Here is a 26,866-nt window from a genome sequence, read left to right as displayed (position 1 = left end):
GAAAAGGGTAATTGTCGGGCAGCGGCCCCTGCTTCCCAGTCAGACCTCGGAGTTGTAGGACTCGGACTGTGTTCCTGGGCTTGCGAGAGCTAGGGAGGCCCGGCTCTCCTCGCGGTGCAGGACGCGCTCGGACGGCTCCCGCACCCCCACCGCAGTGTTGGGTGGTGGTACGGCTCAGGGAGTCACGCGCCTGGGTGTCGGCGGGGCTGCGGGACCGCGAGTGAGTGTGGTCGCTCCTGGTTCTGCCAGCTCCCCTGAGAGCCTGAACCCGGGCTTGAGAGCCTCGCCACCCCGGGTGACATCCCTGCCGTGGGCTTGGGGGCTCTGGGTGTGATTCCGCCGGTCCGGGTCCCGCAGCGACCACCTACCCAGCGCAGTCAGGGGCGGGGCTGGGACCCAGAGCGGGACCCCGGCTGCCGAGTCCAGGTGTCCCGCGGGCCTCGATTTGGGGAGCAGGTAGGCGGGGGTCTGAGGGGTTGGCGGAGGGGCATGTCCGAGTTTTCGTTGGTCCCAGGTGGACGAGTAATGGGGGAGGGTTTAGGGCCAGAGTCCAGGGCGTCGCCGAGACCCTGAGATTTGAAGATAGGTTGGGGGCACGCCCATTAACCAAGTCTATGGGGATGAGGACTGTGATCTCATTTGATGTTGCCATGAAACGGGACTGTTTGCCTTCCCTTCTCCCAGGTTTTGTCTTCGCTCTGTTTGGAGGAGAGGGTGTGTGTCATCCTCTTCTCCCAGTTTGGCGTTCAGGAGGGTCCTCTGATGCGCTAATAGGGTAGCACCGTGTCCTCCAGGGAGGGTGGAAGACCGCGCTTCTCTCCAGTTGAGAGTACTGTCAGTCGCGTCCTTGTCTCCTGGAAAGAATGGATTGGCTTGTGGATTGAAGTCCAAGGTGTGGTCACTAGCAGTCTCTTCAAGTGGGGACACAGGGCAAGGAGGAGCTTGCTGGAAGTAGGTTCTGGCTCTCTAGCCTTTGGCCACAGCCAGTTTAGTGCCAGATTATCACCGTGGTCATCAAGTAATTGAGTAATAGTGGCAGGTGACACTGCGTTTGCCCTTCTAGTGTCCTATGTCAGGGAGCTCTGTGAATGGAAATCCAGGGAAACGGTGGAAATAGAGCCACAGTGAGAGTGGATCTGAACTGGCAGTCATCCCCTGCAGAACTTTTCACCCTGGGCTTGTTGGGATCCCAGCTGCTAACTTAATGAGGCTCCCCAGTGGGAGACTAGTTATAGAAGCTGTGTGTCCACTGCTGGTTAAGATCCGTTATAGTGCTTTGTTTATTTAGAGTGCCCTTACTTAGTGGCCTCTTTAATTCTCCACGGTGCTATGAGAACACCATAGGAAGTAGGGTTGAAATAGGGCCAGGGCGCACCACGGGTGGTGGTGAGGTCACTGTCCAGGTCTGGGACTCAGCCATTGTGGGAGGGGGACATGAACAGACACTCTACCACATCAGGGAATTTGAATACTGTCTTTGGATATGTTGATGAAGAGACTGTCAGCCAGGGCATTTCGGCTTCCTATGTGGGTTCTGGAAAGCTTGTTGGAAACAGACTCGTGAGACACACTCAAACCAGTTTGTTTTCTTCAGCAAACACCTGGTAGAGATTGGAATTGAACAGTGAGTGAAGAATGACCTCACGCTGCCCAGAATTCTGATTCCATGTGTAATGCGAATTCTGAGAGGCCTCTGTTTCTCAGCTTTTGGGTGGTATTCAGAGAGGTCTAGTAACACTTGGTGTCACCTGGCTGGTGAGGGCAGGCTCCGGTGACCGCAAAGCTAAGTGCTCTGTAGGGCACCTCCCTCTCTTTCAGGGGCTGCCTGGGCCTCTGGTGCACATGATCCATGGAGTCAGAGTCAGAGCTCTCGTCTGACAAGTGCTTTTGCTTTCTTTCTTTCTTTCTTTCTTTTTTGGAGACAGAATCTCATTCTGTCGCCCAGGCTGGAGTGCAGTGATGCGATCTCGGCTCACTGCCACCTCCGCTTCCAGGCTCAAACGATTCTCCTGCCTCAGCCTCCTGAGTAGCTGGCACTACAGGCACGTGCCACCAGGCCTGGCTAATTTTCGTATTTTGTATTTTTTGAAATGGAGTTTTACTCTTATTGCCCAGGCTGGAGTGCAATGGTGCGATCTCAGCTCACTGCAACCTCCGTCTCCCAGGTTCAAGCAATTCTCCTGCCTCAGATTCCCCAGTAGCTGGGATTACAGGCATGCACCACCACCATGCCTGGCTTTTTTTTTTTTTTTTTTTTTGAAATGGAGTCTTGCTCTGTGGCCCAGGCTGGAGTGCAGTGGTGCGATCAGCTCACTGCAAGCTGTGCCTCCTGGGTTCACGCCATTCTCCTCCCTCGGCCTCCCCAGTAGCTGGGGCTACAGGCCCCCGCCACCATGCCCAGCTAATTTTTTGTATTTTTTAGTAGAGACGGGGTTTCACTGTGTTAGCCAGGATGGTCTCAATCTCCTGACCTCGTGATCTGCCCACCTCGGCCTCCCAAAGTGCTGGGATTACAGGCGTGAGCCACCGCACCCAGCCTAATTTTTGTATTTTTAGTAGAGATGGGGTTTCAATATGTTGGCCAGGCTGGTCTCGAACTCCTGACCTCGTGGTCCGCCTGCCTCGGCCTCCCAAAGTGCTGGGATTACAAGCATGAGCCACCACACCCGGCAATTTTTCTATTTTTAGTAGAGACAGGGTTTCACCATGTTAGCCTGGCTGGTCACAAACTCCTGACCTTAGGTGATCTGCCCTCCTTGGCCTCCCAAAGTGCTGGGATTACAGGCTTAAGCCACTGCACCCAGCGAGTGCTTTTCATTAAAAGGAAAAACGAATAAGAGTAGCCCATGTTTTGGCCAGACATGGTGGCTTATGCCTGTAATCCCAGCACTTTGGGAGGCCGAGGAGGCGGGAGAATCACCTGAGGTCAGGAGTTCAAGACCAGCCTGGCTAACATGGCGAAACCCCATCTCTACTAAAAATACAAAAGTTGGCTGGTCCTGGTGGCGCACGGCCATAATTCCAGCTACTCGGGAAGCTGAGGCAGGAGAATTGCTTGAACCTGGGAGGCGGAGGTGGCAGTGATCCGAGATTGCTGCACTGCACTCCAGCCTGGGCAACAGAATGAGACCCTTCCGCAAAAAAAAAAACAAACCAAAAAAAAACAAAACAGTGTAGCCCATGTTGGCTCTGGGTGCTGGGAAGTGGCTTGTCAGCGTTGCCTCTGGTTTCCCTCTCCTGCTTGAGAAGGAAACTGCCAGGCCTATGGCCTGAAAAGTAAGTTGGTGTGATGTAGATGCTGCCAGAGCACCCCCTTATAACCAAGAGTAAGAAAGATGGGGACTTGGCTGGATGCAGTGGCTCATGCCTGTAATCCTAGCACTTAGGGAGGCTGAGGTAGGTGGATCACCTGAGGTCGGGAGTTCGAGACCAGCCTGGCCAACATGGTGAAACTCTGTCTCTACTAAAATACAAAAATTAGCCAGGTGTGGTGGCAGACACCTGTAATCCCAGCTACTCAGGAGGCTGAGGCAGGAGAATCACTTAAACCTGGGAGGCAGAGGTTGCAGTGAGCTGAGATCACGCCATTGCACTCCAGCCTGGGTGACAAGAGTGAAACTTGGTCTCAAAAAAAAAAAAAAAAAAAAAAAAGGAAAGATGGGAACTTGCAGCCTTGACCTCCCAGGCTGAAGTGACCTCCCAACTTAGTCCCCCAAGTAACTTGGACTAGAGGCATGCCCGGCTAATTTTTTTTTTTTTTTTTTTTTTTGAGATGGAGTCTTGCTGTGTCGCCCAGGCTGGAGTGCAGTGCCGTGATCTTGGCTCACTGCAAGCTCTGCGTCTCAGGTTCACGCCATTCTCCTGCCTCAGCCTCCCGAGTAGCTGGGACTATAGGCGCCTGTCACCATGCCTGGCTGATTTTTTTTGTATTTTTAGTAGAGATGGGGTTTCACCATGTTAGCCAGGATGGTCTCGATCTCCTGACCTCCTGATCTGCCCACCTCGGCCTCCCAAAGTGCCGGGGTTACAGGCGTGAGCCACCGCGCCCGGCCTGGCTAATTTTTTTTAAAAATTTTTTGTAGAGACAGGGTCTCACTGTGTTACCCAGGCTGGTCTCAAACTCATGGGCTGAAGCAATCCTCCTGCCTTGGCCTCCCGAAGTGTTGGGATTACAAGCATGAGCCACTGAGCTGGCCTCAAGACCCTATCTCTAAAAAAATAAATACAGAGATCCTTGATCAAATACTGGTTTAGAGTGCCTCAGAGGTGCAAGAGTTCAGCTAAAATGTCAGCTCCTGCTGAGAAGGTCAGAGGCCTGCTAAGCCATTCAGAACCCTGGGGAGTGTCTACATCCTCATCAGACACGTTCTTATTTGAGACTGGCTGTAAGCTGCTCCCATTATTTTTCATGCTACGAAGGCCTCTAATCTTAGAAATAGCTCTAATTTTTTTTTTCTCTTACCTAGAAAACGCCAGGTCTTCAAGGGTGTCTGCCACCACCATGCCTGACCCATTTGGCAGCAGCCTCGTGTGTGGTGGTCTGGTGTGGACGGTGGAAGCGTGATTCTGCTGAGTGTCAGGTTAGTGTGGGTGCTCTGCAGGTGGGCTGAGACTTGGCCCAGGCTTGCTGTCCTGTGCATGTCTTGCTAGAAGGAACCTTATTTCTCTTCCCCTGATGCCTCTCAGAGAAAGGCGTGGCCTTCCTTTTCGCAGTTTAATGCCTTTACCTTTCCTTTGGGTCCTGCTACCCCTTACTCCATCAGTGGTCGCCCCATCTCCTGTTGAGCAGTAGATTTTTAAGCCACTCATCATAGTGAACCCTGTGGGCCCTTTATTGAAACTGTCTGTTTGGTTCCTGTGCCACTAGACTCTGGCTCCGGCCTTCCCCACAGCTGTGGCTCCTGAACCTCTGCCGCCCCTAGATTCCGCCCCTTTCTTGGCAACAGCTGTCATCTTTCCAAGGGCGACTTCTCAGTCCTCTCATTTATCTAACACGTGAATGTGGCGCTTCCTGTGTGTCAGGAAGGCACTTTGGAGGCGCAGTTCTGCGATGAGGAGCGCTACGACTCAAAGCAGGGCAGGGGAGGGTGTCGGGGTGGAGGGGAGCTCTTCTGGTGGGCTGGCAAGGGGTACTCTGAGCAGGGGAGCAAGTGGAGGCCGAGTGGTGAGGAGTGAGCCAGGTGACGGTGTGTGGAGCATTCCTGACCTTTGTCCCCAGCCCTGCCCTCTCCTGTCCTGCAGCCTGCATCTTTGCTGAGTTCTCAGGGCCTTCCAGCTAGAAGTTCTGCCATCTGTTAAATGCGTATGTTTCCTCTCCCGCTGCCTGTCTGCCTCCCTCTCGGAGTGCACCTACAGAGCACTAGCCCTCCATTCCCTGCCAGCCACACCCAGGGTCTCCCTCTCTGACTCCCACACCTGCCTCACTGCCAGCCCAGCTAAGGTTCTCTTCAAATGTCTGTTTTCTGTCTGCCTCTGCCATTCCCAGTGTGACCACTCGTGCTCAGCCGTATCTCAGCAGGAGGACAGGTGCCGGAGCAGCTCGTGCAGCTAAGCAGCCAACTGCAGAAACGTCAGGTGGGTGGTGCATTCGCAGGCATGCTGAAGAAGCAGTTCCAGGCATGGGCCGCCGGCAGAGAGGCTGGCTGCAGCACCCCCCACCACCATGCACATCGTCCTTTGCTTCTTCCTAGAGTTAGCGGCTTTGGCAGGCCATGCCTTGTTTGTGTTCACAGCCTGCCTGTCAGGAGCGAAGACAGAACGTCTGACTTTTGGATCCGTAACAGGGGTGGGGGCTCCCCAGAAGAGAAGAGGCTTTGGGTCCTGGCCAGTGTCCACTACTCAGTCAAACATTCAGAAACTTACATGATTCTTCATCGTCCCAAGCAAGTCTGACTTGGGCCCTTTATTGAAACTCTGTTTCCTCTCCCGCTGCCTGTCTGCCTCCCTCTCGGAGTGCACCTACTGAGCACCAGCCCTCCATTCCCTGCCAGCCACACCCAGAAAGCAATGGGGCTTTCTGGGAAGGCAGAAATATTCTGTGACCTGGGCTATTCAGAGGGGTGGCGTGAGTCGTGTGTGCCTAGCAAACACTCAGGACATGGCCGGTGAGACAGAAGGGCTGAGCTTTTGTCCTAGCTAATATATTAATTAATTAATTCATTATTTATTTTGAGACGGAGTCTCTCTGTCGCCCAGGCTGGACTGCAGTTGCGCAGTCTTGGCTCACTGCAACCTTCGCCTCCTAGGTTCAAGCAATTCTCCCGCCTCAGCCTCTTGAGTAGCTGGGACTACAGGTGTGCGCCACCATGCCTGGCTAATTTTTTTTGTACTTGTAGTAGAAATGGGGTTTTGCCATGTTGGCCAGGCTGGTCTTGAACTCCTGACCTCAAGTGATCTGCCCACCTCGGCCTCCCAAAGTGCTGGGATTACAGGCATGAACAACCGCACTCAGCCTATTTATTTAATTTTTTCGAGACGAAGTCTCACTCACTCTGTCACCCAGGCTGGAATGTAGTAGTACGATCTCAGCTCACTGCAACCTCCACCTCCCAGGTTCGAGCGATTCTCCTGCCTAGGCCTCCCAAGTAGTTGGGACTACAAGCGTGCGCCACCACTCCAGGCTACTTTTTTTTTTTTTTTTTTGAGATGGAGTCTCGCCCTGTCATAAAGGCTGGAGTGCAGTGACCTAGTCTTGGCTCACTGCAACCTCCGCCTCCCAGGTTCAAGTGATTCTCCTCCCTCAGCCTCCCAAGTAGCTGGGTTTATAGGTGACCGCCAACACGCCCAGCTAAGGTTTTTGTTTTATTTTGTTTTGTTTTTGTTGTTTTTGGTTTTTTTTGAGACTGAGTCTCACTTTGTTGCCCAGGCTCGAGTGCCGTGGTGCGATCTCGGCTCACTGCAACCTTGCCTCCCAGGTTCAAGTGATTCTCGTGCCTCAGCCTCCTGAGTAGCTGGGACTACCAGCGCACACCACCACACCTGGCTAATCTTTGTATTCTTAGTAGAGGCAGGGTTTCACTGCGTCGGCCAGGCTGGTCTCAAACTCCTGACCTCAAGTGATCCACCCGCCTCAGCCTCCCAAAGTGTTGGGATTACAGGCTCATGGGATTACAGGCATGAGCCACTGTGCCGGCCTCTCCTAGCTAATTTAAATTTTAAATTTAAGTTGTCACACATAGCTGTGGCCACCGTATGGACAATGTGGGTCTGGCTGCATGTGTCAGGCTGTGTCACATGTCAGGCTGTTGGCTGTGGCTGTCCCCACTGTGCACCTTTGCTTTTGCGGTCTCGTTTCCAGAACTTCTCTGCCAGTGAGAACCCCATGACACACCCCCATTTTAAAGCCTTCTCTGGCTTTCCTGCATTCGTTAGGAAGGCATACTGCCTCATGCTGCCGCGGCCATCCCTCTGCAATGAGTGCTTGGTGTCCCTCAGACTTTGTGCCTGCAGCTGCCCCTGGCCTTCACATGGTTCCGCCGGCATCGCAGCTGTACTGTGGCCAAGCTTGGGGCTTTCCTTGACTCCATGTCCCCACCAGGTGTCCCATTGCTGGCTCTGCCACGGAAACTCTCCAAAGGGCTCTCTCTACCCACTCCTGTGAGCTTTTTCTCCACCGGAAACTGTGTTAAGGTCACCTTTGACTTCATCATTGTTCTGCAGGTTACCACTCCCCCTTTTAAAAAGATTGTGGTGAAATAATACATGACCTAAAATGCGCCATTTGAACCACTGTTCGGCGTGCAGTGCCGTGGCATGAAGTATGTTCACAGTGCTGTGCGGCCATCGCCACCTTCCGTCTCCAGAACTGAGCCCCGCTCTTCCCTCCCAGTCCCCGGCAGCTGCCATTCTGCTCTCTGTCTCTATGGCTTTGAGGACTCTAGGTACCTCCTATTTAAGTGGAATCCTACAGTGTTTATCCGTTTGTGACCAGTGTAGATCATTTCGTGTAATGTCCTTCAGTTTCAGCCGTGCCGTAGCTTGTGGCAGGGTTTCCTTCCTTTTTAAGGCCATGTGACATTCCAGTCCCACCTTGCTAAAGCAGTTTACCTGGTCACTGGGGTGACTCTGGAGCTCCCCTCTGGCCTCACTGCCTGTGCTTGGTCATGTTGGCTAGCTGTCCTCCCTTCTCCACCTCTGAGTCTACAAGGGCTGCACTCCACGGAGGTCCCATGCGTCAGCCCCGACCGCAGCGCTTGGCTCTGCTGCTGTGTCCCGTCCCCGTGAAGGCTCAGCAGGCACTCACTGGGCCTTCTCCCCTGCTCACTGCTCCGCACTCTGCACCCCACCCGCACTGTGCGTCTTCACCCTGCCTGGCCTGGGCCACTGTCCCTTCCTGCTCAGATCAGTCAGCAGGGTGCCTCAGCTTGTTCCCCACCTCCACCCTGGCCCCCTGCCATCTTTTCTGCACATGGGCATGAGTGAACCTATTCAAGTGAAATTCACATTTTCTCATGTCTCATCAGAACCCCCAAAGCCTCCCCAGTCTCTGATAACACATCCAGGGTCTTTCGGTGGCCTGGAGGAGCTATAAGATCTGCTTCCTACAGCCTCCACCCTGTCTGCTGCTGCTCTTTGGACACCGGACCTTACACACCCCTCAGACAGTACAGCACCCACCCTGCCCTTCAACTCTTGCTTGGCCCCGTAAGCCAGTCCTTCCAGGCTCCTGCCTCCTCTGGTCATTCCCTGCGTGGGCCTCTCGCAGGAAGCAGTTTTCCTGTGTCCCCCGCCGACCCCCTGCAGGAGGTAAGCTGCATGAGGGCAGTATCATGTTGCCTAGCACCTTGGCCCACATGGAGCAGGTGCCAAGCAGATATGTATTGGGTGGAGGACCCTCTCCCTGTGGCCTTTTATCTATTTGTTCTCACAGGGTTTGCCAGGTTTGGCTGCAGTTCATGTCACTTGAGGACATTCCTTTCCAGCGCCGTTGGCTTTGTGGCTGTGGCTCTGTCACAGCTCCAGCTGTGCTATCATTGGTCCACATTGTCCCCTCCCCTATTTGCTGTGACTCCCATGGGAAGATCCTATCTCTGTTCCTCTCGCACTGGGGCAAAGCAGTGCTGGCAGGGGGCTGGGGAACTGGCGGGTGGCCTCTCCTGGGCAGGAAGTCCATGGCACCCAGGTGCTCCCTGTGCTCCAGAGGGGCTGGGGAGGTTTCATGGAGTCAATAGGCATTGGCAAGCTGACATGTCCCCTGTCCCACGCAGGCCTGTTGCAGTCTCCAAGGCACCATGAATGCCATCGTGGCTCTCTGCCACTTCTGCGAGCTCCACGGCCCCCGCACTCTCTTCTGCACGGAGGTGCTGCACGCCCCACTTCCTCAAGGGGATGGGAATGAGGACAGTCCTGGCCAGGGTGAGCAGGCGGAAGAAGAGGAAGGTGGCATTCAGATGAACAGTCGGATGCGTGCGCACAGCCCCGCAGAGGGGGCCAGCGTCGAGTCCAGCAGCCCGGGGCCCAAAAAGTCGGACATGTGCGAGGCAAGTGTCTTTGGGGTCTTGGTTTTGTGATCCCTGCAGTAGGTGTGGGATGGACAGGAGGACCTGAGAGCAGTGGACGGGGCCTCCCGGGGTGACACAGACTGCTTCTCAGGGGCCCTTCAGTTCTTTCCGCTCATCCTGACTGTAGCTTTTGTTTTGTTTTGTTTTGTTTTTTTTGAGACAGAGTTTTGCTCTTATTGCCCAGGCTGGAGTGCCATGGTGTGATCATGGCTCACTGCAACCTCTGCCTCCCGGGTTCAAGCAATTCTCCTGCCTCAGCCTCCCGAATAACGAATTACACTTGCCTGCCACCACGCCTGGCTAATTTTGTATTTTTAGTAGAGATGGGGTTTCACCATGTTGGGCAGGCTGGTCTTGAACTCGTGACCTCAGGTGATCCACCTGCCTCGGCCTCCCAAAGTGCTGAGATTACAGGCGTGAGCCACCACACCCAGCCTATGTTAACTTCTTTAACCCACTCTGCCTCCCTGCCGTGGCCTTCATGTTTGTATTCACACACTCCAGCCTGTCCTGGAGGCGGGTCCCCAAAGTCCCGTGCTCCCAGTGGAGTTTCCTGCTCCCAGGACCCCCAGTGTTCTCGGTGGGTCACTCCATCAGCTCTTGAACTCTCGGGAATTAGTGTGAGTTTTCCCCAGTGGGCCACTTGTTTTTGTGGAGGACCTGGGTCAGGGCCCAAAATCAGGGGTGGGTGTTGGACCTGCCACTGCAGTGCAAACGGGAACCCAAGCTTGTTCTTTTGGTTCTGCTGCAGAAGCAGAGGACGTGTAAGAGCTGCATCCATTGCTGGAATTGCCTGTAAGGAATGGGGGATGGGGAGCACCTCAGACCTGGGAAGGAGGGCACCGCCAGGCTGCTGGGGCATCCTTGAGCTGGTTTTGGGGTTGCCCATGGAGGAATCCTGCGACACTGTGGGGAGAGTCTTGCTGACGCACTGCCGCACAGTCCTGGGGTAGGAGCAGCTCCAGGGCGCACAGCCTCAGCATCGGAGTGGCTGTGGCTGCAGCGGGGCAGCGGGGCAGCAGTGGTGAGCTGCCACACCAACATCCTGGAGCTTGGTGCTCGCCCTATTTATTGGGCCTCTCGCCTGTGGCTGAAGCCCCTTCCAGGTGTTAGTTCAGAACCAATGATGGAGGCTGGGGGCAGTGGGTAGTGTTACCACCACAGAGCCCCTCACCCTCGGGCCAGCTACTTCTCACTTCAGCCTCAGTTTTGTCTTCTGTAGAATGGGGCTTCTCACTGACATTATCTCAGAGGGTGGCACTTGGGATTGAATGAGATGGAGCATGCAGGGCCCTTTTCATGTTACCTACTTCGTAAGTGCTCAGCAAATACCTGTTAGGAACAACCTCTGGCAATCTCTGCGATCTCTGTGTTCTGTTTTCCTCTTTAGGAAACATTTAAATCTTCAGATAAGTATAAATCTGGAAGCCAATTATTTTTTTACAAAAATAGCTTGAGTTTTCCGAGCTCAGATTTGCATAAACCTAAGAGAGTTTGTCGCCCTGCTTCCCAACTAACAGATTTACTTTTCCTTTTCATGGACAGGGCTGCCGGTCACTTGCTGCAGGGCACCCGGGATATATCAGCCATGATAAAGAGACCTCCATTAAATACGTCAGCCACCAGCACCCCAGCCACCCCCAGCTCTTCAGCATTGTCCGCCAGGCCTGTGTCCGGAGCCTGAGCTGTGAGGTGAGCCTTGTGGCCACAGAGCCTGTCTCTGTGGGAGCCCACATGCTCCCAGGTGCTCTGGGTGGGCTCGGAGCCAGCATTGCACAGGGAGGCAGGCACTGGTCCTCTCTCAGGGCGGACCCGCAGATCAGCACAGCACAGGGTACAGGACGCCTCCCTTGTCCAGAATTGCGGGAGGAGTCATGTTGGACTTGCTGAGCATTTTCTGATTGAGTGCTAGCTTTTGCACTTTAAGCACCGAACTTTTATTATTTGTCCTTTCTTTATTATTATTGTTTTCTTTTTTCCTTCTTTTGTGTCAGGGTCTCGCTCTGTCGTCCAGACTGGAGTGCAGTGGTGCCGTCATGGTTCACTGCAACCTCAAACTCCTGGGCTCAAGCGATCCTCCCGCCTTAGCCTCCCAGGTGGCTGGGACCACTGGTGTGTGCCACCATGCTCAACTGGGGTTTGTTTTTTGTTGTTGTTAAGACAGAGTCTCACTCGGTTGCCCAGGCTGGAGTGCAGTGGTGCAATCTCGGCTTACTGCAACCTCCACCCTGGGTTTAAGTGATTCTTCTGTCTCAGCTATCCTGAGTAGCTGGGACAACAGGCGTGTGCCACCATGCCCGGCTAATTTTTTGTATTTTTAGTAGAGAAGAGATTTCACCATGTTGGCCGAGCTGGTCTTGAACTCCTGACCTTGTGATTTGCCCGCCTCGGCCTCCCGAAGTGCTGGGATTACAGGTGGGAGCCACTGTGCCCCACCTTTTTAAAATTTTTTTGTAGAGATGAGGTCTCAGTATGTTGCCCAGGTTGGTCTCGAACTCAAGCAATCCTCTGGCTCATCCTCCCAAAGCACTAGGATTACAGGTGTGAGCCGCCATGCCCAGCCATGTGTGTCTATTCTTGATGGATGTATTCCTAAGATAGGAAGCATTTCTAGGTTAGGTGGTTCATTGCATCAACATCACCTTTTTTTATTATCTCAGTCCTCATTCCAAGTCTCAGTGATGATCCCGTGCTGCTCTCAGCCTGCTGAGGTGTGGATGATTTCTTCCTAAACTACGTCGCTGCTGCTGTTGCTCTTGACTCTGAGCTCAGGTCTTTGTTACAAAGAATTCGTCGTTCAGTTACTAAACTTCCTTGTCATTGGTGTCCACCCAGTTCGACACACCAAGCTCCCTTACTGTTCTCATTCAGTGTGGCTGTGTGCCTGCCCTCAACTGTCCTCTCCTTTTAATTTCCTACCGCTGGTCTGCTAGCAGGCAGCTCGGCATGTCTGTTAGAATTGTGTGTTAAGGAAGAGTAAGTATGTAATGAGGAGGGACTGAAATCCTCTTATAAGAATAAAGTACGTGGGGCTGGGCATGGTGGCCCACTCCTGTAATCCCAGCCCTTTGGGAGGCCAAGGCCGGCAGATCACCTGAGGTCAGGAGTTCGAGACCAGCCTGGCCAACATGGTGAAACCCCCTCTCTAAAAAAAATACAAAAAAATTAGCCAGGCGTGGTGGCACACTCTTACAATCCCAGCTACTCAGGAGGCTGAGGCAGGAGAATTGCTTGAACCCAGGAGACGGAGGTTGCAGTGGGCCAGGATCACACCACTGCATTCCAGCCTGGGTGACAAGAGCGAGACTCCATCTCAAATAAAGAAAGAAAGAAAGAATAAAATGTGCGGATTTCAGTGCAGGGAGAGTGCAGTGGCTGCTCTGACCTGCTGGTTCTTCTGCATGCTCCAGGTGAGTAAGCTGGTACATTTGAGTCTGGGAGAGGTGTGACATATGCATGGGAGTTATTTATGGCTCAAGGTGGAAGAAAAGCAATAAGCCTTGTTACCGGCCCTTGCAGTCCACAATGACAAGTGTTGTTGGAAGCTTGATCACAGGAGCAGAAGAGTACAGTCTTCGGCTCTCATGGCCCCCACTGTGCCACTCTCCCCGTTATTAACGCTGGCTGATTTGTGCCAGCTGACTCTGAAAAGTCTGAAGAAGAGGCTTTGATTTGGTGTCACTAAGCGAGGAAAGGGCTGTCTGAGTCGCCGGTGTCCCTCCAGGTCTGCCCTGGCCGTGAAGGCCCCATCTTCTTCGGAGATGAGCAGCACGGCTTTGTGTTCAGCCACACCTTCTTCATCAAGGACAGCCTGGCCAGGGGCTTCCAGCGCTGGTACAGCATCATCACCATCATGATGGACCGGATCTACCTCATCAACTCCTGGCCCTTCCTGCTGGGGAAGGTCCGGGGAATCATCGATGAGCTCCAGGGCAAGGCGCTCAAGGTGAATTCAGAGATGAGGTGCCGGGGCGGCAGGGGGCCCTGCACTGCATGAGCCGCTCTGTGCTGAGGTTGAGGCCTGGAGACCGCGTGGCGTCTTCCCCTCTGCTTACAGCCAGTGCACTGTGTGAATTGTAGTCTCTTGGCTTCAGAGCTGGAGGTCGTGAGGAGCCTCCCAGGCCATCCCGCCTGCTTTGCTGGTCTCTCTTGTGCCCGTTGTCCTGGTTCTCGCTCAGCTCTGGTTTCTTTGCTGCAGTCAGACCCCTGGTGTCTTTGTTTCCTCTGGCCTTCATCTCAGGGATGTCTGTTAATCCCATTGAGTTGCACCACCGAATGTAGGCCTCCAGCTGTGGAGATGCAGCTCAGGCCAGGCCAGGCCAGGTCGTGCTCTGGTAACAGCCTCGGATCTCAGCACCTTCAAGCCATAGGGCCTGTTTCTTACTCATGGTGTGTGCATTGCAGGAGAGTGGGGCTCTGCTTGCTGTGGTCGTCCTGGCAGGCAGAGCGGCAGCCATATGAAAATGCTTCCCCTAGGCTGGGCGCAGTGGCTCACGCCTGTAATCCCAGCACTTTGGGAGGCCAAGGCGGGCAGATCACCTGAGGTCGGGAGTTTGAGACCAGCTTGACCAACATGGAGAAACCCCGTCTCTTCCAGAAATACAAAATTAGCTGGGCATGGTGGTGCATGCCTGTAATCCCAGCTACTTGGGAGGCTGAGGCAGGAGAAACGCTTGAACCCATGAGGCAGAGGTTGTAGTGAGCCGAGATCACACCATTGCACTCCAGCCTGGGCGACAGAGTGAGACTCCATCTCAAAAAAAAAAAGAAAGGAAAAAATGTTGCTCCTTCTGCCCTCCAGAAGCACAGATGGTGCTGAGGGCCTTGTTTGTCTCAGCTCATTGACCAGAGCCAGTCACGTGTGCCTTAGCCAAGTAGTGCACCCAGAAGGGGAGGTGGAGACAGGTGGGGAGCAGCGCAGATGGCCACTCACGAGAATCCCCCTGGGTGCCTTGGGTCACTCATTAGGAAGGGGACAGGAGAAGCTCAACCGATTTCTGTTCTCGGATAGCTCCTGATGTAGCCGGGGCAGAGCTATGCTGTTGGGAATGATTGGACTGGTGGCACTTTGTGTGCTCTGCATGGAGAGAGTATAGTGGGACTGATCCTCCAGGAGTCAGGTCCTGGAGTTGGCTGTGAACGAGTAGGGGTCCGAGCTGCTGGCAGCTTTGGCTTAAAGAGGCCATCCCTTCCCTTTGCATTTCAGGTGTTTGAGGCAGAGCAGTTTGGATGCCCACAGCGTGCTCAGAGGATGAACACAGCCTTCACGCCATTCCTACACCAGAGGAACGGCAACGCCGCCCGCTCGCTGACATCGCTGACAAGTGATGACAACCTGTGGGCGTGCCTGCACACCTCCTTTGCCTGGTAACGGGCGTCTCTGCTTTTGGCATATCTGTTAGGATAGAGCAGTCACGATACATTGGTTGGCTTGTCCATGGATTTGGGAGAACAGTCCTTAGCCGTGTTTGCTTGCTGCCTCTGTGAGGAGCACTGGCCTGTGGGCACTTGTCAGTGAGCACAGATCTGGGCTGGGAGTCCTTGTTCTGTAGGCCTCTTCCCCTGAGTGTGCTGAAAACATATTGATGTGGAACTCACTTCTTCCTGGGTTCAAGTGATTCTCCTGCCCCAGCCTCCCAAGTAGCTGGGATTACAGGCGCCTGTCACCACACCCAGCTAATTTTTTTATTTTTGGTAGAGACGGGGTTTCACCATGTTGGCCAGGCTGTTCTCAAACTCCTGACCTCATGTGATCCACCTGCCTCAGCCTCCCAGAGTGCTGGGATTACAGGTGTGAGCCACCGCGCCCAGCCTTTTTTTTTTTTTTTAAAGCAAATCTGAGTCGTATCATTCCAGCCATAAATATAATCACAATACTGTGATCATGTCCGACAAAACGGACAGACTCCTGAGTGTTCTCCAGGCTGCAAGCCCTTGTGCAGTTTACCTTTTGTCTCACAAGTGACTGCATTGGCATCGGAGCAGCGCCCCAAGTCTCTCTGGTTTAGAACAGCTCCCCCTTGCATCCCCTCCCCTCCAAGTTCCTCCCATCCATCTATTGAAGGACCTTGGTCGTTGACTTGTGGAACTGCCTGCATGCGGGATCTGGCTGGTTGTGCCCTGCTGGTGTTCTTTTATACCCATTTTTTCTTTAAACTGGTAGGATCAGGGGCTGGGTGAGCGTCAGGTTTGCTTTTTCCTTTGGCGAGAACGCTCATAGCTGGTGCTGTGTTCTCCAGGCTCCTGAAGGCGTGTGGCAGCCGGCTGACCGAGAAGCTCCTGGAAGGTGCTCCGACCGAGGATACCTTGGTCCAGATGGAGAAGCTCGCTGGTGAGGCAGGGGTGCTGTTGCCGGGGCCTTGGCCCGGATGGCCGTGGGGCGGTACCAGCTGTCTGCTCTCCTGGCAGGAATCGCTGAGGGAGGGAAACGCGGCTCTGAATCAGCCCAGAACGAGCCTTCGGGAAGCTCACCCTCCGATCTCGGTGTGATTGTTGTGATTGTTGTGATTTCCTGTCTCGTTTGCCTTGACCGCCATGTGAAAGAATCTGTTCCCCAGCTAGGTGGGGAAAATTCACAGGTGGGCTGTCTGTAGAGAGAACTGGCTGATTAAAGGCTTCTCGTCCCGATTTTGTGATAGCCAAGTGCTTGGCCTGGTCGACGGTCTTTGCTCCTTTACAAATAAAGTGTTCTGTTTCAGTTCGTCCCAAGTTTTCCATGAAGGGCAGTGGTTCCCTGACCTCCCAGGTGCCTGGGCTTCCCCAGGTTCCTGATCTGGGGCTTGGGGCCCTGTGTTTGGGGATCGTGGCACTGTGTGCACCAGCCTGGAAGCACTGGGCCAGTCTTGGCCAAGCTTTCCATCAGGGATGATTTGATCTTGGTGCTACAGGTCTGTGGTACGACCATTGTTCCACACCACATGTCATTAATAATGCTTCCCATGCTTCTGCTTGCAAATGACCAGCCTTCCAAACAGCCAGAGCTGTTTCGAGGTGTTTCTGCAGGCAGGTGCAGGCGTGCCCTCAAATAAGCTTTGCCAATGGAGTCTCAGCAAGAGCAAAACCTGGTCAGGAAAGACAAAGCCTGGGAATCCACCCCCATGCCCTGCAGGTTGGCTGGCCCTGGAGCCATTTATTATAGTGCTAATCATGTTTCTAGGCAGGTGCAGATGGCAAGGGCAGTGTCTTGGTGAGCTTTTTAGCACGAAGAGCCAGGTCTGTCGAAGCCTTTGTGAGAGCTGGAAACGCAGGTGTGCTGGGCATGCGCAGTATGGGGTTTCGGGCTCAGGGCTTGCCCTTTGGCATCAGACAGACCTGGCTTCGCATCCTGGATTTGCTTCTGACGTGCACCCTTCCCTTTGGGTCTCGTGATGTGAAATGGAGATGTTGTCATTTGTGAGGGCTCCATGAAGTTTCGTTGAAATGACAAATACTAATTTCTTCATCTGTGAAATGGAGATAATAGTGCTGACCTCAGAACAGCTGAGAGGACTAAATGAAATGATGTTGGATGTAGCCATAAAGAACGAAGTCAGGCACTGGTGCACGCCTGGAATCCCAGCTCTTGGGAGACCGAGACAGGTGGATTGCTTGAGCTCAGGAGTTTGAGACCAGCCTGAGCAACATAGGGAGGTCCAGTCTCTACAAAAAATATGAAAAGTAGCTGGGCGTGGTGGCGCATGCCTGTAGTCCCACTACTTGGAAGGCTTCGTTGGGAGGATCACTTGAGCCCAGAAGATTGAGGCTGCAGTAAGCCGTGATCGTGCCACTGCATTCCAGCCTGGGCAACAGAGCGAGACACTGTCTCAAATAAAAAAGATGGGAATAGTAGACACTGGGGGCTCCAGAAGGAGGGAGGGAGGGAGGAAGGGGAGGAAGGGCTGAAATGCTTTCTATTGGATACTATCTGGGCATATTACTTCCTGTGGTTCACTGTCTGGGTGACAGGATTCATAGAAGCCCAAACTTTAGCACCACGCAGCATACCCTTGTAACAAAGCCGCACACGTACGCCCTCAAGCTAAAACAAAAGTGGACCGGGAGGCCGAGGTCGGGGGATCATGAGGTCAGGAGTTTGAGACCAGCCTGGCAGATAACGGTGAAACCCCGTCTCTACTAAAAATACCAAAAAAAGTTAGCCGGACATGGTGGCAGGTGCCTGTAGTCCCAGCTACTTGGGAGGCTGGGGCAGAAGAATCGCTTGAACCCAGGAGGCGGAGGTTGCAGTGAGCCGAGATTGCGCCACTGCACTCCAGCCTGTGCGACAGAGTGAGACTCCGTCTCAAAAAAAAAAAAAAAAAAAAAAGTGGAAAAAAAAGAAACAACGTGTAGATCCTCGAGAACTGTGGCCGACTGGGTGTGTTCCGTAGACACGCTGTTGGCATTTTTCTTACTGATTTGAGTTTTCTCACCAGCAGAGAACAGCTGACGGTCTTTCCATAAGTGCTTCTAAGAGAGATGTGTGGTACCCCGGGCTAAGTAGACAGCAACTGAGCCCTCCCTCCCACCCCAGGGCTCCCAGAGCAACAGGGAGCAGGGAGCATAGGACCTGGCCGCAGCCAGGAATCTACACTGACCGGCTCAGCCCATGAAGTATCTTGGGCTGAAGTCACAGGATGAGACTGTTTGTATCTGTAACTGTCCTTGTCATCTGTCTTGCAGATTTAGAAGAGGAATCAGAAAGCTGGGACAACTCTGAGGCTGAAGAGGAGGAGAAAGCCCCTGTGTTGCCAGAGAGTACAGAAGGGCGGGAGCTGACCCAGGGCCCGGCAGAGTCCTCCTCTCTCTCAGGCTGTGGGAGCTGGCAGCCCCGGAAGCTGCCAGTCTTCAAGTCCCTCCGGCACATGAGGCAGGTAGGCGGCAGGGGCACAGCGCATCAGGAGCTCAGGAGGAGAGCCAGTCATGGGCTGTCCCTGCCCACACGCCTTGCCTCTGGACCCTCCACCTTCAAAACCCTGCAGGAAGTGACTGACAGCCTCCTCGGTGGGTGGCTGAGGGCACAGGGCGTTGGGGGTATTAGCCATAGGATCAGTGCTCCCCTTTCAGTGATGACCTAAGTATCTTCAAAGAAAAGCCCAGATAGTTGGCATCCCATGGTCCTCTAATCCTCTAAGAAGCTCCTAAAGGCATTGAACAGCACTGTAATTGGTTTGGATGCAGCCTGGACCCTGCCCATTGTAAGTGATGGTCTGGCTGGGCGTGGTGGCTCTCACCTGTAATCCCAGCACTTTGGGAGGCCAAGGGGGAGCGGATCACGAGGTCAGGAGTTCGAGACCAGCCTGGCCAACATGGTGAAACCCCATCTCTATTAATACAAAAATTAGCTGGGCATGGTGGCATGTGCCTGTAGTCCCAGCTACTTGGAGGCTGAGGCAGGAGAATCGCTTGAACCTGGGAGGTGGAGGTTAACAGTGAGCCAAGATGGCACCACTGCACTCCAGACTGGTGACAGAGCGAGACTCCATCTCAAAAAAAAAAAAAAAAAGAAAGTGATGGTCATTCTTACAAAAAATTAGGAACAACTTGCATATCAAACCATACTAGTAAACAGTAGCCAAACCATGGAATATGATTAATTAGAAGAAATAAAGCAGGCACTGTGTGTTCAGGGTGATGTATGTACATGTGTGCCTGCCAGACACGACAAAATCTAACAGTGTTGTCTCCAGTTACATCGAGTCAGATGCCGGGAGAGAGGGGTGTGGGTTGCTGGATTACAAGGGCAGGCTGCCTTCTTATAAAATTCTTCTGCATGAATTTTTCCAATGAGCACTGATTCATTAGAAGAGAGTTATTTGTTTTTGAAAATGGAGTGAGACTGATTTCATGGCAGATGTCCTTGGGGCTTCTGGATGTAAACACCCATTCCATCAAAATCCTGCATTTGGCTGAAACCTTCCTTGTCCGTTGCTTATGTTGATGAAGGTTGGAAGGGGTCTGGAATTCCTCTGGAGGTGGGACTACTTTGAGGCTGTTGGGGTTTGGTGAGACATAGTATTGTGGCCTCTCTCTTATGTTGTGTTTCAAAGCTGGGTTTGGCTTCTTAGAAGCCGTGAGACAGCAGGCTGGACTCTCCTAAGGTGTCAATGTCATGGAAGTTAATAACAGGTGGGGTGTGGGGAGAGGCTGTTCTAGGTTAAAGAATAAGGACGTGACAACTAAAAGCCATGATGGGTCCTGTAGTATCTCCTGGATCCAAAGAACAGCAGCCGTCAAGCAGGCAGCAGCCCTGGGCTTGTGCACACGGCTGGATGTCAGATGCGTCCGTCCAGGCACTCCTGGCTGCAGTCATGGTCTCAGCTGTGGAGATGCCCTTATTCTCCTGGGTGCTGCCATGTCGAGGGCCCTACAGCTTGCTTTCAAATGGTTCAGCAGAAAGTGTCTGTAGAGAGAAGGTGAATATTGCACAAAGTTAACATCTTTTTGCTTCAAATTTTTAAAAACAAAACTGGGAGAAAGATCTTGGAGCAAGAGCTTTGGAATCTAGCATTTATGTGCAAACCTGGAACTTCTCTCTCTGCCCCTTTAACCCTGGGCCGGGCACCCGCCTCCCTGAGAAGATAAGTGTCTTTCTCCTGAGCCCTGTCTTTGCTCTACAAAGTTTTATGAACACACAAATAACTTCATGGGAAGGGAGAGAAAAACCATTTCTACTAGTCACGCTGAAAGCACTGCACTCTCTTGTTTAGGTCCTGGGTGCCCCTTCTTTCCGCATGCTGGCCTGGCACGTTCTCATGGGGAACCAGGTGATCTGGAAAAGCAGAGACGTGGACCTCGTCCAGTCAGCTTTTGAAGTACTTCGGGTGAGAACATCTTTTCCTTAGGTGTGCGGCGCAGGGCAGTATTGGCCTGGTGCCTGGCGTCAGGTGGGGATGCCAAGGTGCACCGACTGCCCAGCACAGAACCGCTGTGCACCACACGGTCTCCACTGGGGGCGCAGTGGGCACGGAGACCCGGGTCTGGTCTGATGATGTTTAAATCATCAGAAGGATGCGTGTGCCTGCTGACTGCCCAGGCCTGAGAGGGAACAAAAATGCATATGACACAGTCTTGGTAAAAGCTTCTTTGTGGGATGCGGTAGGAGACAAACATCTGTGCAGGCAAACATTAATATGAGTTAACACCACAGAGCGAGGGGCGGTACAAGCTGGTGTGTGACTGGCGGTCCAGACAAGAGTTAGGGACCTGGTGGTGGAGGACCCTCCCCCCTCACCCCCACTGTGGGCTGAGAGTCTGGGGACTCCTCTGGCAGGAGGGAGGGCTTGGACCGGGCTGCAGGAGGCGTGTGGGGTTTGGGTAGTAGAGCATGGATGGCCGGGGCTGAGGGCTTCCTCGTGTCCTTGGTCTGAGTCCTGCTGTCCTCCTCAGACCATGCTTCCCGTGGGCTGCGTCCGCATCATCCCATACAGCAGCCAGTACGAGGAGGCCTATCGGTGCAACTTCCTGGGGCTCAGCCCGCACGTGCAGATCCCCCCCCACGTGCTCTCCTCAGGTGCGTGCCCCCGCGGGCTGTGGGGCCATGCCCTGCGCTGAGGTTCCCCACGCCTCAGGCCCAAAGTGGAACCAGATCTCTGTCATGGGTTGTGGAGAGGAGGCCTCATTGCAGGGCCAGCTTCCCCCATGGCTCTGGGCCTCCGTGTTCTATCTTCACACAGGTAGCGGTGGGTGAGTGGACCTGATGGGAAGGTTGGCTGGCAGGGACTGTCGTCAGTGGGCTGCAGGTCACCATCGTGGGGTGGGAGGATGTGTCCCTGGCCGGAGGATCCTGGTCGTCCTGGTGATTGGGTGCCTATGAGATGGAGGCCTGCTGAATGCTGGGTGTGAGCTGCCTGCTTCTGTGGGCCCTGCCATCCTCTCCTCACTCTTCTACTGTTCCCCTGTCCTGACTTCTGCTCTCCTCCAGCCTTTTTCTTCACCTCATGTGCCCGAGGTCTTCCCGGCCTTCACTGGTGTGGTCAGGGCTCAGCAAACCCCTGGTCTTTTGGTTTGGGGATGTCCAGGGATCAGCCCCCCAGGCTCATCAGTGACTTCCCCCAGCACAGCGGTGACCAGCAGCTGCTGACTCATGGTCCGAGTGGAGCTACCCTGAGCCCCCAATCAGCACCCAGGCTGGGTCCTGACTCCCTGCGAGGCAGTGCCTTTTTTCCGGGTAGCATTGGAAACACAGGCTCTGGTTTCAAACAGACTTCAAATTCTTACCACTACGAGCAGGTTATTTAACGTCTCCAGGCCTGTTTCCCCATCTGTAGAATAGGGTCATGGTGAGACCACCCTCATAGGGCTGCTTAGCCAGAGGTAAATTGATGTATATAAAGTACTTTGTGATTATTGTAATATAATAAATTATTAGTTTAACTGAGGCAAAAGTTAACCCTTAACTATTCACGAATAACCTGAAAGGTTTTAAATACCAAAGCATTGATTTGGGCCAGTCTTTTCACCAGCAGCCTTCCCCACTGACCTGGGATGAGCGGAGTGGGGCCCACGGTGGGCTAGCGCAGGGGAGGTGAGGAGCATGGGGGAGATGAGGAGCCACGGGCCTTGTGTTGTTACAGAGTTTGCTGTCATCGTGGAGGTCCACGCAGCCGCACGTTCCACCCTCCACCCTGTGGGGTGTGAGGATGACCAGTCTCTCAGCAAGTACGAGTTTGTGGTGACCAGTGGGAGCCCTGTAGCTGCAGACCGAGGTGGGTGCCCCCAGGCAGAGTGTCCTTTTTGTGAGAAGATGCCCCCGCCCCGCGCTAACGCCTGCCCTTGCTCTGCCCCTGCCCTTCTCCCCAGTGGGCCCCACCATCCTGAATAAGATTGAAGCGGCTCTGACCAACCAGAACCTGTCTGTGGATGTGGTGGACCAGTGCCTCGTCTGCCTCAAGGAGGAGTGGATGAAGTAAGCAACAGTGTGGGTGAGGCCCCTTTGCTTGCGACCCTGGAGAAAACCTGGAGCTGTTTCCAAAAGAGGAGCTGGGCCGTGGCCACTGAGGGAGGAGCCGAGAGAAGAGGTTGGGGGCGGGGTTCCAACTCCACGTCCGCCACTGCAAAGCTCAGGTGGCCTCGGGAGGCGGTCATCATGTCTGCCTCCGGCTCCTGCATGGGGAGGTGGGGGTGGCGCCTGCCTTGGAGAGCGACTGAGGCTTGGGCAAGGGCTCCAAGCTCACAGGAGGGTTCATAATGGAAGCTCTGTCATCTGCTGTGCAATTAACTTCAAAACCTAAAAGCCCAGTAACCCATGCCCCACCCCGCTTTTTATTTTATTTTATTTTTATTTTTTATTTTTTTTGAGTCAGAGTTTGGCTCTTGTTGCCCAGGCTGGAGTGCAATGGCATGATCTTGGCTCACCACAACCTCCGCCTCCCGGGTTCAAGCGATTCTTCTGCCTCAGCCTCTGGAGTAGCTGGGATTACAGGCACCCACCACCATGCCTGGCTAATATTTGTATTTTTAGTAGAGACAGGGTTTTAGCATGTTGGCCAGGCTGGTCTTGAACTCCTGACTTCGTGATCCGCCCACCTTGGCCTCCCAAAGTGCTGGGATTACAGGCGTGAGCCACTGCACCTGGCCCCCCGGGTTTTTTTTTTTGTAAGCAAATTTACTTTATTTCCTCCTGCCTCGATTCTTGGTAATTTTTTGGGTCAAATTTATTAATCAAACATTGTCCTGATTTAAAATCATGCAGTGAAGCTTAGGAGCAACCAGTGTCTTCCACGAGTTTAAGGAAGGTTTTTCTTTCTTCTTGGCGTCTTGACAACAGCTTGAGGGAGGGTGTGGGAAGCGCACAGGCCCCATACCCATACCCGACAGAGGGCCGAGCCCAGCCCCGACAGCTTCCCTTCCTTGCTGGGACACAGCTCCTTTCAGCAGTTCAGGGGCCAAGCCTGCTGCCCCAAGGGTGTGGATTCCAGCTCTGCCTGCACAGCTCCTGCTGGTGCCAAAGCCGTGTCACCCCTGGTTGGCCCCGTGACCAGGGCTCGAGGGATTGTGCTGTGGTGTCTGAGTGTTTTGTTTTGGTTTTCTTCAGCAAAGTGAAGGTGCTTTTTAAGTTCACCAAGGTGGACAGTCGACCCAAAGAGGACACACAGAAGCTGCTGAGCATCCTGGGTGCGTCCGAGGAGGACAATGTCAAGCTGCTGAAGTTCTGGATGACTGGCCTGAGCAAGACCTACAAGTCACACCTCATGTCCACGGTCCGCAGCCCCACAGCCTCGGAGTCTCGGAACTGACCCGTCACACACACCTGCCTAAAGACAGGGATGGCTGTCCACAGGATCCTCCAGCCCCGTGAGAGGGACTGTCCCTTGAGTTTCTCAACTGCTGGAAGGAGCTGTGTCCCAGCAAGGAAGGGAAACCATCAGGGCTGGGCTCGGCCCTGTCAGGTTTGGGGCCTGTGTGCTTCCCAGACTCTCCCTCCAGCCGTTGGAATCGCTGAAGATGGCAATGAAAGGCGGAGGGATGATGGGCTCTCTCTGTGTTCAAACTCCTTGGAGAGACGACTAGGAGGACAGCTTGCCTCCCAGGCCCCTTGTGGACTTAGACTCAAAACCCGCAGGAGAAACAGGTCCGACTCAGTATGCAGTCGCAATAACATGTCTGCTCCCGAGGTTAACATTCAAGCGTTTCTACTTTGAAATTCAGCAAGAGTTTCTGGGCCTTATGTTTGAGGGTACCTTTTGCTGCAGTTGTGAATATTCAGTACATTGCCAGCTCTTGGTCACTGAGTGATTGAGTTAGGGCTCCGCAAGAGACTTTGGGGAGTGAAGTGGATCTCTTCCTCATCTTTTGGTCCTCTGAAATGTGTGTTCTGAAGCCATGGGGCTCGTCTTCTGGGGTGTTCCCCTGCAGGTGCTGGTGAAGGTAACCTGGGGCTTAATGATGGAGTCCCTGATCATTTTTGCACAAGACAGGTTGCTGAGGGGTCGGCAAGCATCTGACTTGCCCAATCCCCTGGATATGGTGAGCCCCGCCATGCTTTTATTCTGTATCGCTTTTGTCTTTATTGCTGCTTTCAACATTTACGTTTGGTTACAGTTAACTATTTTCGGAGTGTGGTGATTGAAGACAATTTCATCATCCCACTGTACTTTTTTTTTTGAGAGGGAGTTTCACTCTTGTTGCCCAGGCTGGAGTGCAATGGCACGATCTTGGCTCACTGCAACCTCTGCCTCCTGGGTTCAAGCAATTCTCCTGCCTCAGCCTCCAGAGTAGCTGGAACTACAGGTGCCCGCCACTATGCCCAGCTAATTTTTGTATTTTTTAGTAGAGACGGGGTTTCACCGTGTTGGCCGGGCTGGTCTCAAACTCCTGACCTCAGGTGATCCACCCACCTCAGCCTCCCAAAGTGCTGGGATTACAAGCGTGAGCCACTGTGCCTGGCCCTTTTTTTTTTTTTTTTTTTTTTTTTTAAAGAGATGGCATCTTGCTATGTCGTCCAGGCTGGTCTTGAACTCCTGAGTTCAAGCAGTCCTCCTGCTTCAACATACAGCTACAGGTACCCCCCACTATACATTTTTAATAAGGATTCATGGCTCAGAGGGATTTTCTGATGGTTTTGCTGATTTGTTTCTAGTTTTTTTGTGTTTATATTTAACATGAAGACCAAGTTTATATAACTAGGTATCTGTATAATGCAACAACATTGGAACACAATAAAGATGTATTTTTGTAAATTGTTACTACATGGTTTTATTGGTTTGATGCCTACTATTTATTTGCGCTCAGGCACAGGAAATACTATGGTTAAAAAATACCAGTGAGTCAGCCGGGCGCAGTGGCTCATGCCTGTAATCTCAGCACTTTGGGAGGCTGAGGCAGGCGGATCACGAGGTCAGGAGATCGACACCATCCTGGCTAATACGGTGAAACCCTGTCTGTACTAAAAATATAAAAAATTAGCCAGGCATGGTGACAGATGCCTGTAGTCCCAGCTACTCAGGAAGCTGAGGCAGGAGAATCACTTGAACCCGGGAGGCAGAGGTTGCAGTGAGCCAAGATCACACCACTGCACTCCAGCCTGGGCAACAGAGTGAGACTCCATCTCAAAAAACAAAACAAAATACCAGTGAGTGGCCAATTCGCACAGTTAAGCTGCTATAATGATCGTAGACAATCTTCTCCAAGTTAGTCGTTGGAGTTGGTGTTGGAGAGAAGCAAACACTCATTTATCCCAAGGACATCTGTTGAGTACCTATGCCCATGTGCTTTTCATTTTGTTCAGCATTAGAAATGGCTCATCCCTTAATAATGATGATATTTAAAAGACATGTCCATCTGAGAGGAAGATGGCTGGAATCACCCTGGGTGACCGTGGCAATCCCTAAAACAGCAGGTTCACGGTTTAGTCATCTACCTCGAGTGGGAGGGGACCCCCTGGCCAATGTGGGTCAAGGGAGAGATGACCACCCACTGTCCTCCCCGGCTTCGGGTACAGATTCCTGTCTTTCTCTCGTGCATGGCATTCCTGGGAACGTGGTTCTATGCTCAGTTTTTGCCAGTTGTCTGCCAGTCTAGTGGCTGAATCCACTTGGCAAGTAGGAGCCCAGTGTAAGTTAGCTCTGCATTCACTTCAGGGGCATGTGTGACCTGGATTTCCCATGTCTAACAGAGCTTGCTGGCGAGGGGGCAGGCAAGGCCCTATGCCGACTGGTGGTTTTGTTTTTGTTTTTGTTTTTTGAGACAGAGTCTTGCTCCGTTGCCAGGCTGTAGTGCAGTGGTGTGATCTCGGCTCACTGCAAGCTCCGACTCCCTGGTTCAAGCAATTCAGCCTCAGCCTCCCGAGTAACTGGGATTACAGGTACATGCCACCACACCCGGCTAATTTTTGTATTTTTAGTAGAGATGGGGTTTCATCATGTTGGCCAGACTGGTCTCGAACTCCTGACCTCGTGATCCGCCCGCCTCGGCCTCCTAAAGTGCTGGAATTAGAGGGGTGAGCCACCGCACCCAGCTGCCAACTGGTGTTTCTAGGCAGCTGTGGGCTTTTTCTCCCCACAGGCATGCAGTTCTTGAAGATTTTTCCTATTGGTCATGAGTGCAGAAGAGCAGGAGGCTGAGCTGAACCTATGCCAGCCCAAGACCAGGCCAGACTCTGCTGTCCTTGTGAGGGAATAGGGGTTCCTGATTTTGTAGCTTTTCACAAAATGGAAGAGACAGAAAACAAGTTCCAGATCTTGAACCTTCCCCATGTGTTTGAAGGCAGTCAAGGGTTTCCTGATTTTACATTCAAGATACTTACACTCAGGGCCGGGCATGGTGGCTCACGCCTGTAATCCCAGCACTTTGGGAGGCCGAGGCAGGAGGATCACCTGAGCCCAGGAGTTTGATACCAGCCTGGCCAACATGGTGAAACCCCGTCTCTACTAAAAATACAAAAAAAAAAA

The 26,866-nt window shown here is 53.1% G+C and overlaps 1 protein-coding gene across 23 annotated transcripts, besides 1 other annotated feature; it reads left to right on the top strand.

The window, feature by feature from the left end:
• FLCN (folliculin) lies at positions 38–25,156 on the top strand. 23 transcript variants are annotated; one of them, XM_017024305.3, is made up of 16 exons: positions 200–456; positions 4,467–4,580; positions 5,486–5,574; positions 8,547–8,745; positions 9,207–9,479; positions 11,046–11,192; positions 12,857–12,910; positions 13,225–13,446; positions 14,707–14,867; positions 15,740–15,831; positions 18,159–18,349; positions 20,186–20,299; positions 20,865–20,988; positions 22,052–22,183; positions 22,278–22,383; positions 23,512–25,156. In XM_017024305.3, exons 5-16 carry the CDS (start codon positions 9,231–9,233, stop codon positions 23,711–23,713), a joined length of 1,794 nt encoding a protein of 597 aa, XP_016879794.1. In that variant the 5' UTR covers positions 200–456; positions 4,467–4,580; positions 5,486–5,574; positions 8,547–8,745; positions 9,207–9,230; the 3' UTR covers positions 23,714–25,156. The 23 variants fall into 23 exon arrangements, with proteins under 23 accessions (XP_047291487.1, XP_047291492.1, XP_016879794.1 ...); NM_001353229.2 differs by lacking the exon at positions 8,547–8,745 and adding an exon at positions 685–892; XM_017024308.2 differs by lacking the exon at positions 12,857–12,910 and adding an exon at positions 685–892.
• Positions 7,772–8,271: an enhancer, noted in NCBI's record as "H3K4me1 hESC enhancer chr17:17132411-17132910 (GRCh37/hg19 assembly coordinates)". NCBI's record gives its function as "activates a minimal SCP1, AML or CMV promoter by ChIP-STARR-seq in primed H9 embryonic stem cells {active_cell/tissue: H9 hESC(primed)}" and the evidence as "EXISTENCE:reporter gene assay evidence [ECO:0000049][PMID:30033119]".

Source organism: Homo sapiens, chromosome 17, assembly GCF_000001405.40.
Source record: "Homo sapiens chromosome 17, GRCh38.p14 Primary Assembly".
In the NCBI taxonomy this organism is placed as follows: Eukaryota; Metazoa; Chordata; class Mammalia; order Primates; family Hominidae; genus Homo; species Homo sapiens.
Note: the sequence above shows the minus strand (reverse complement) of the source record. Positions and strands in the feature narration are given on the sequence as shown.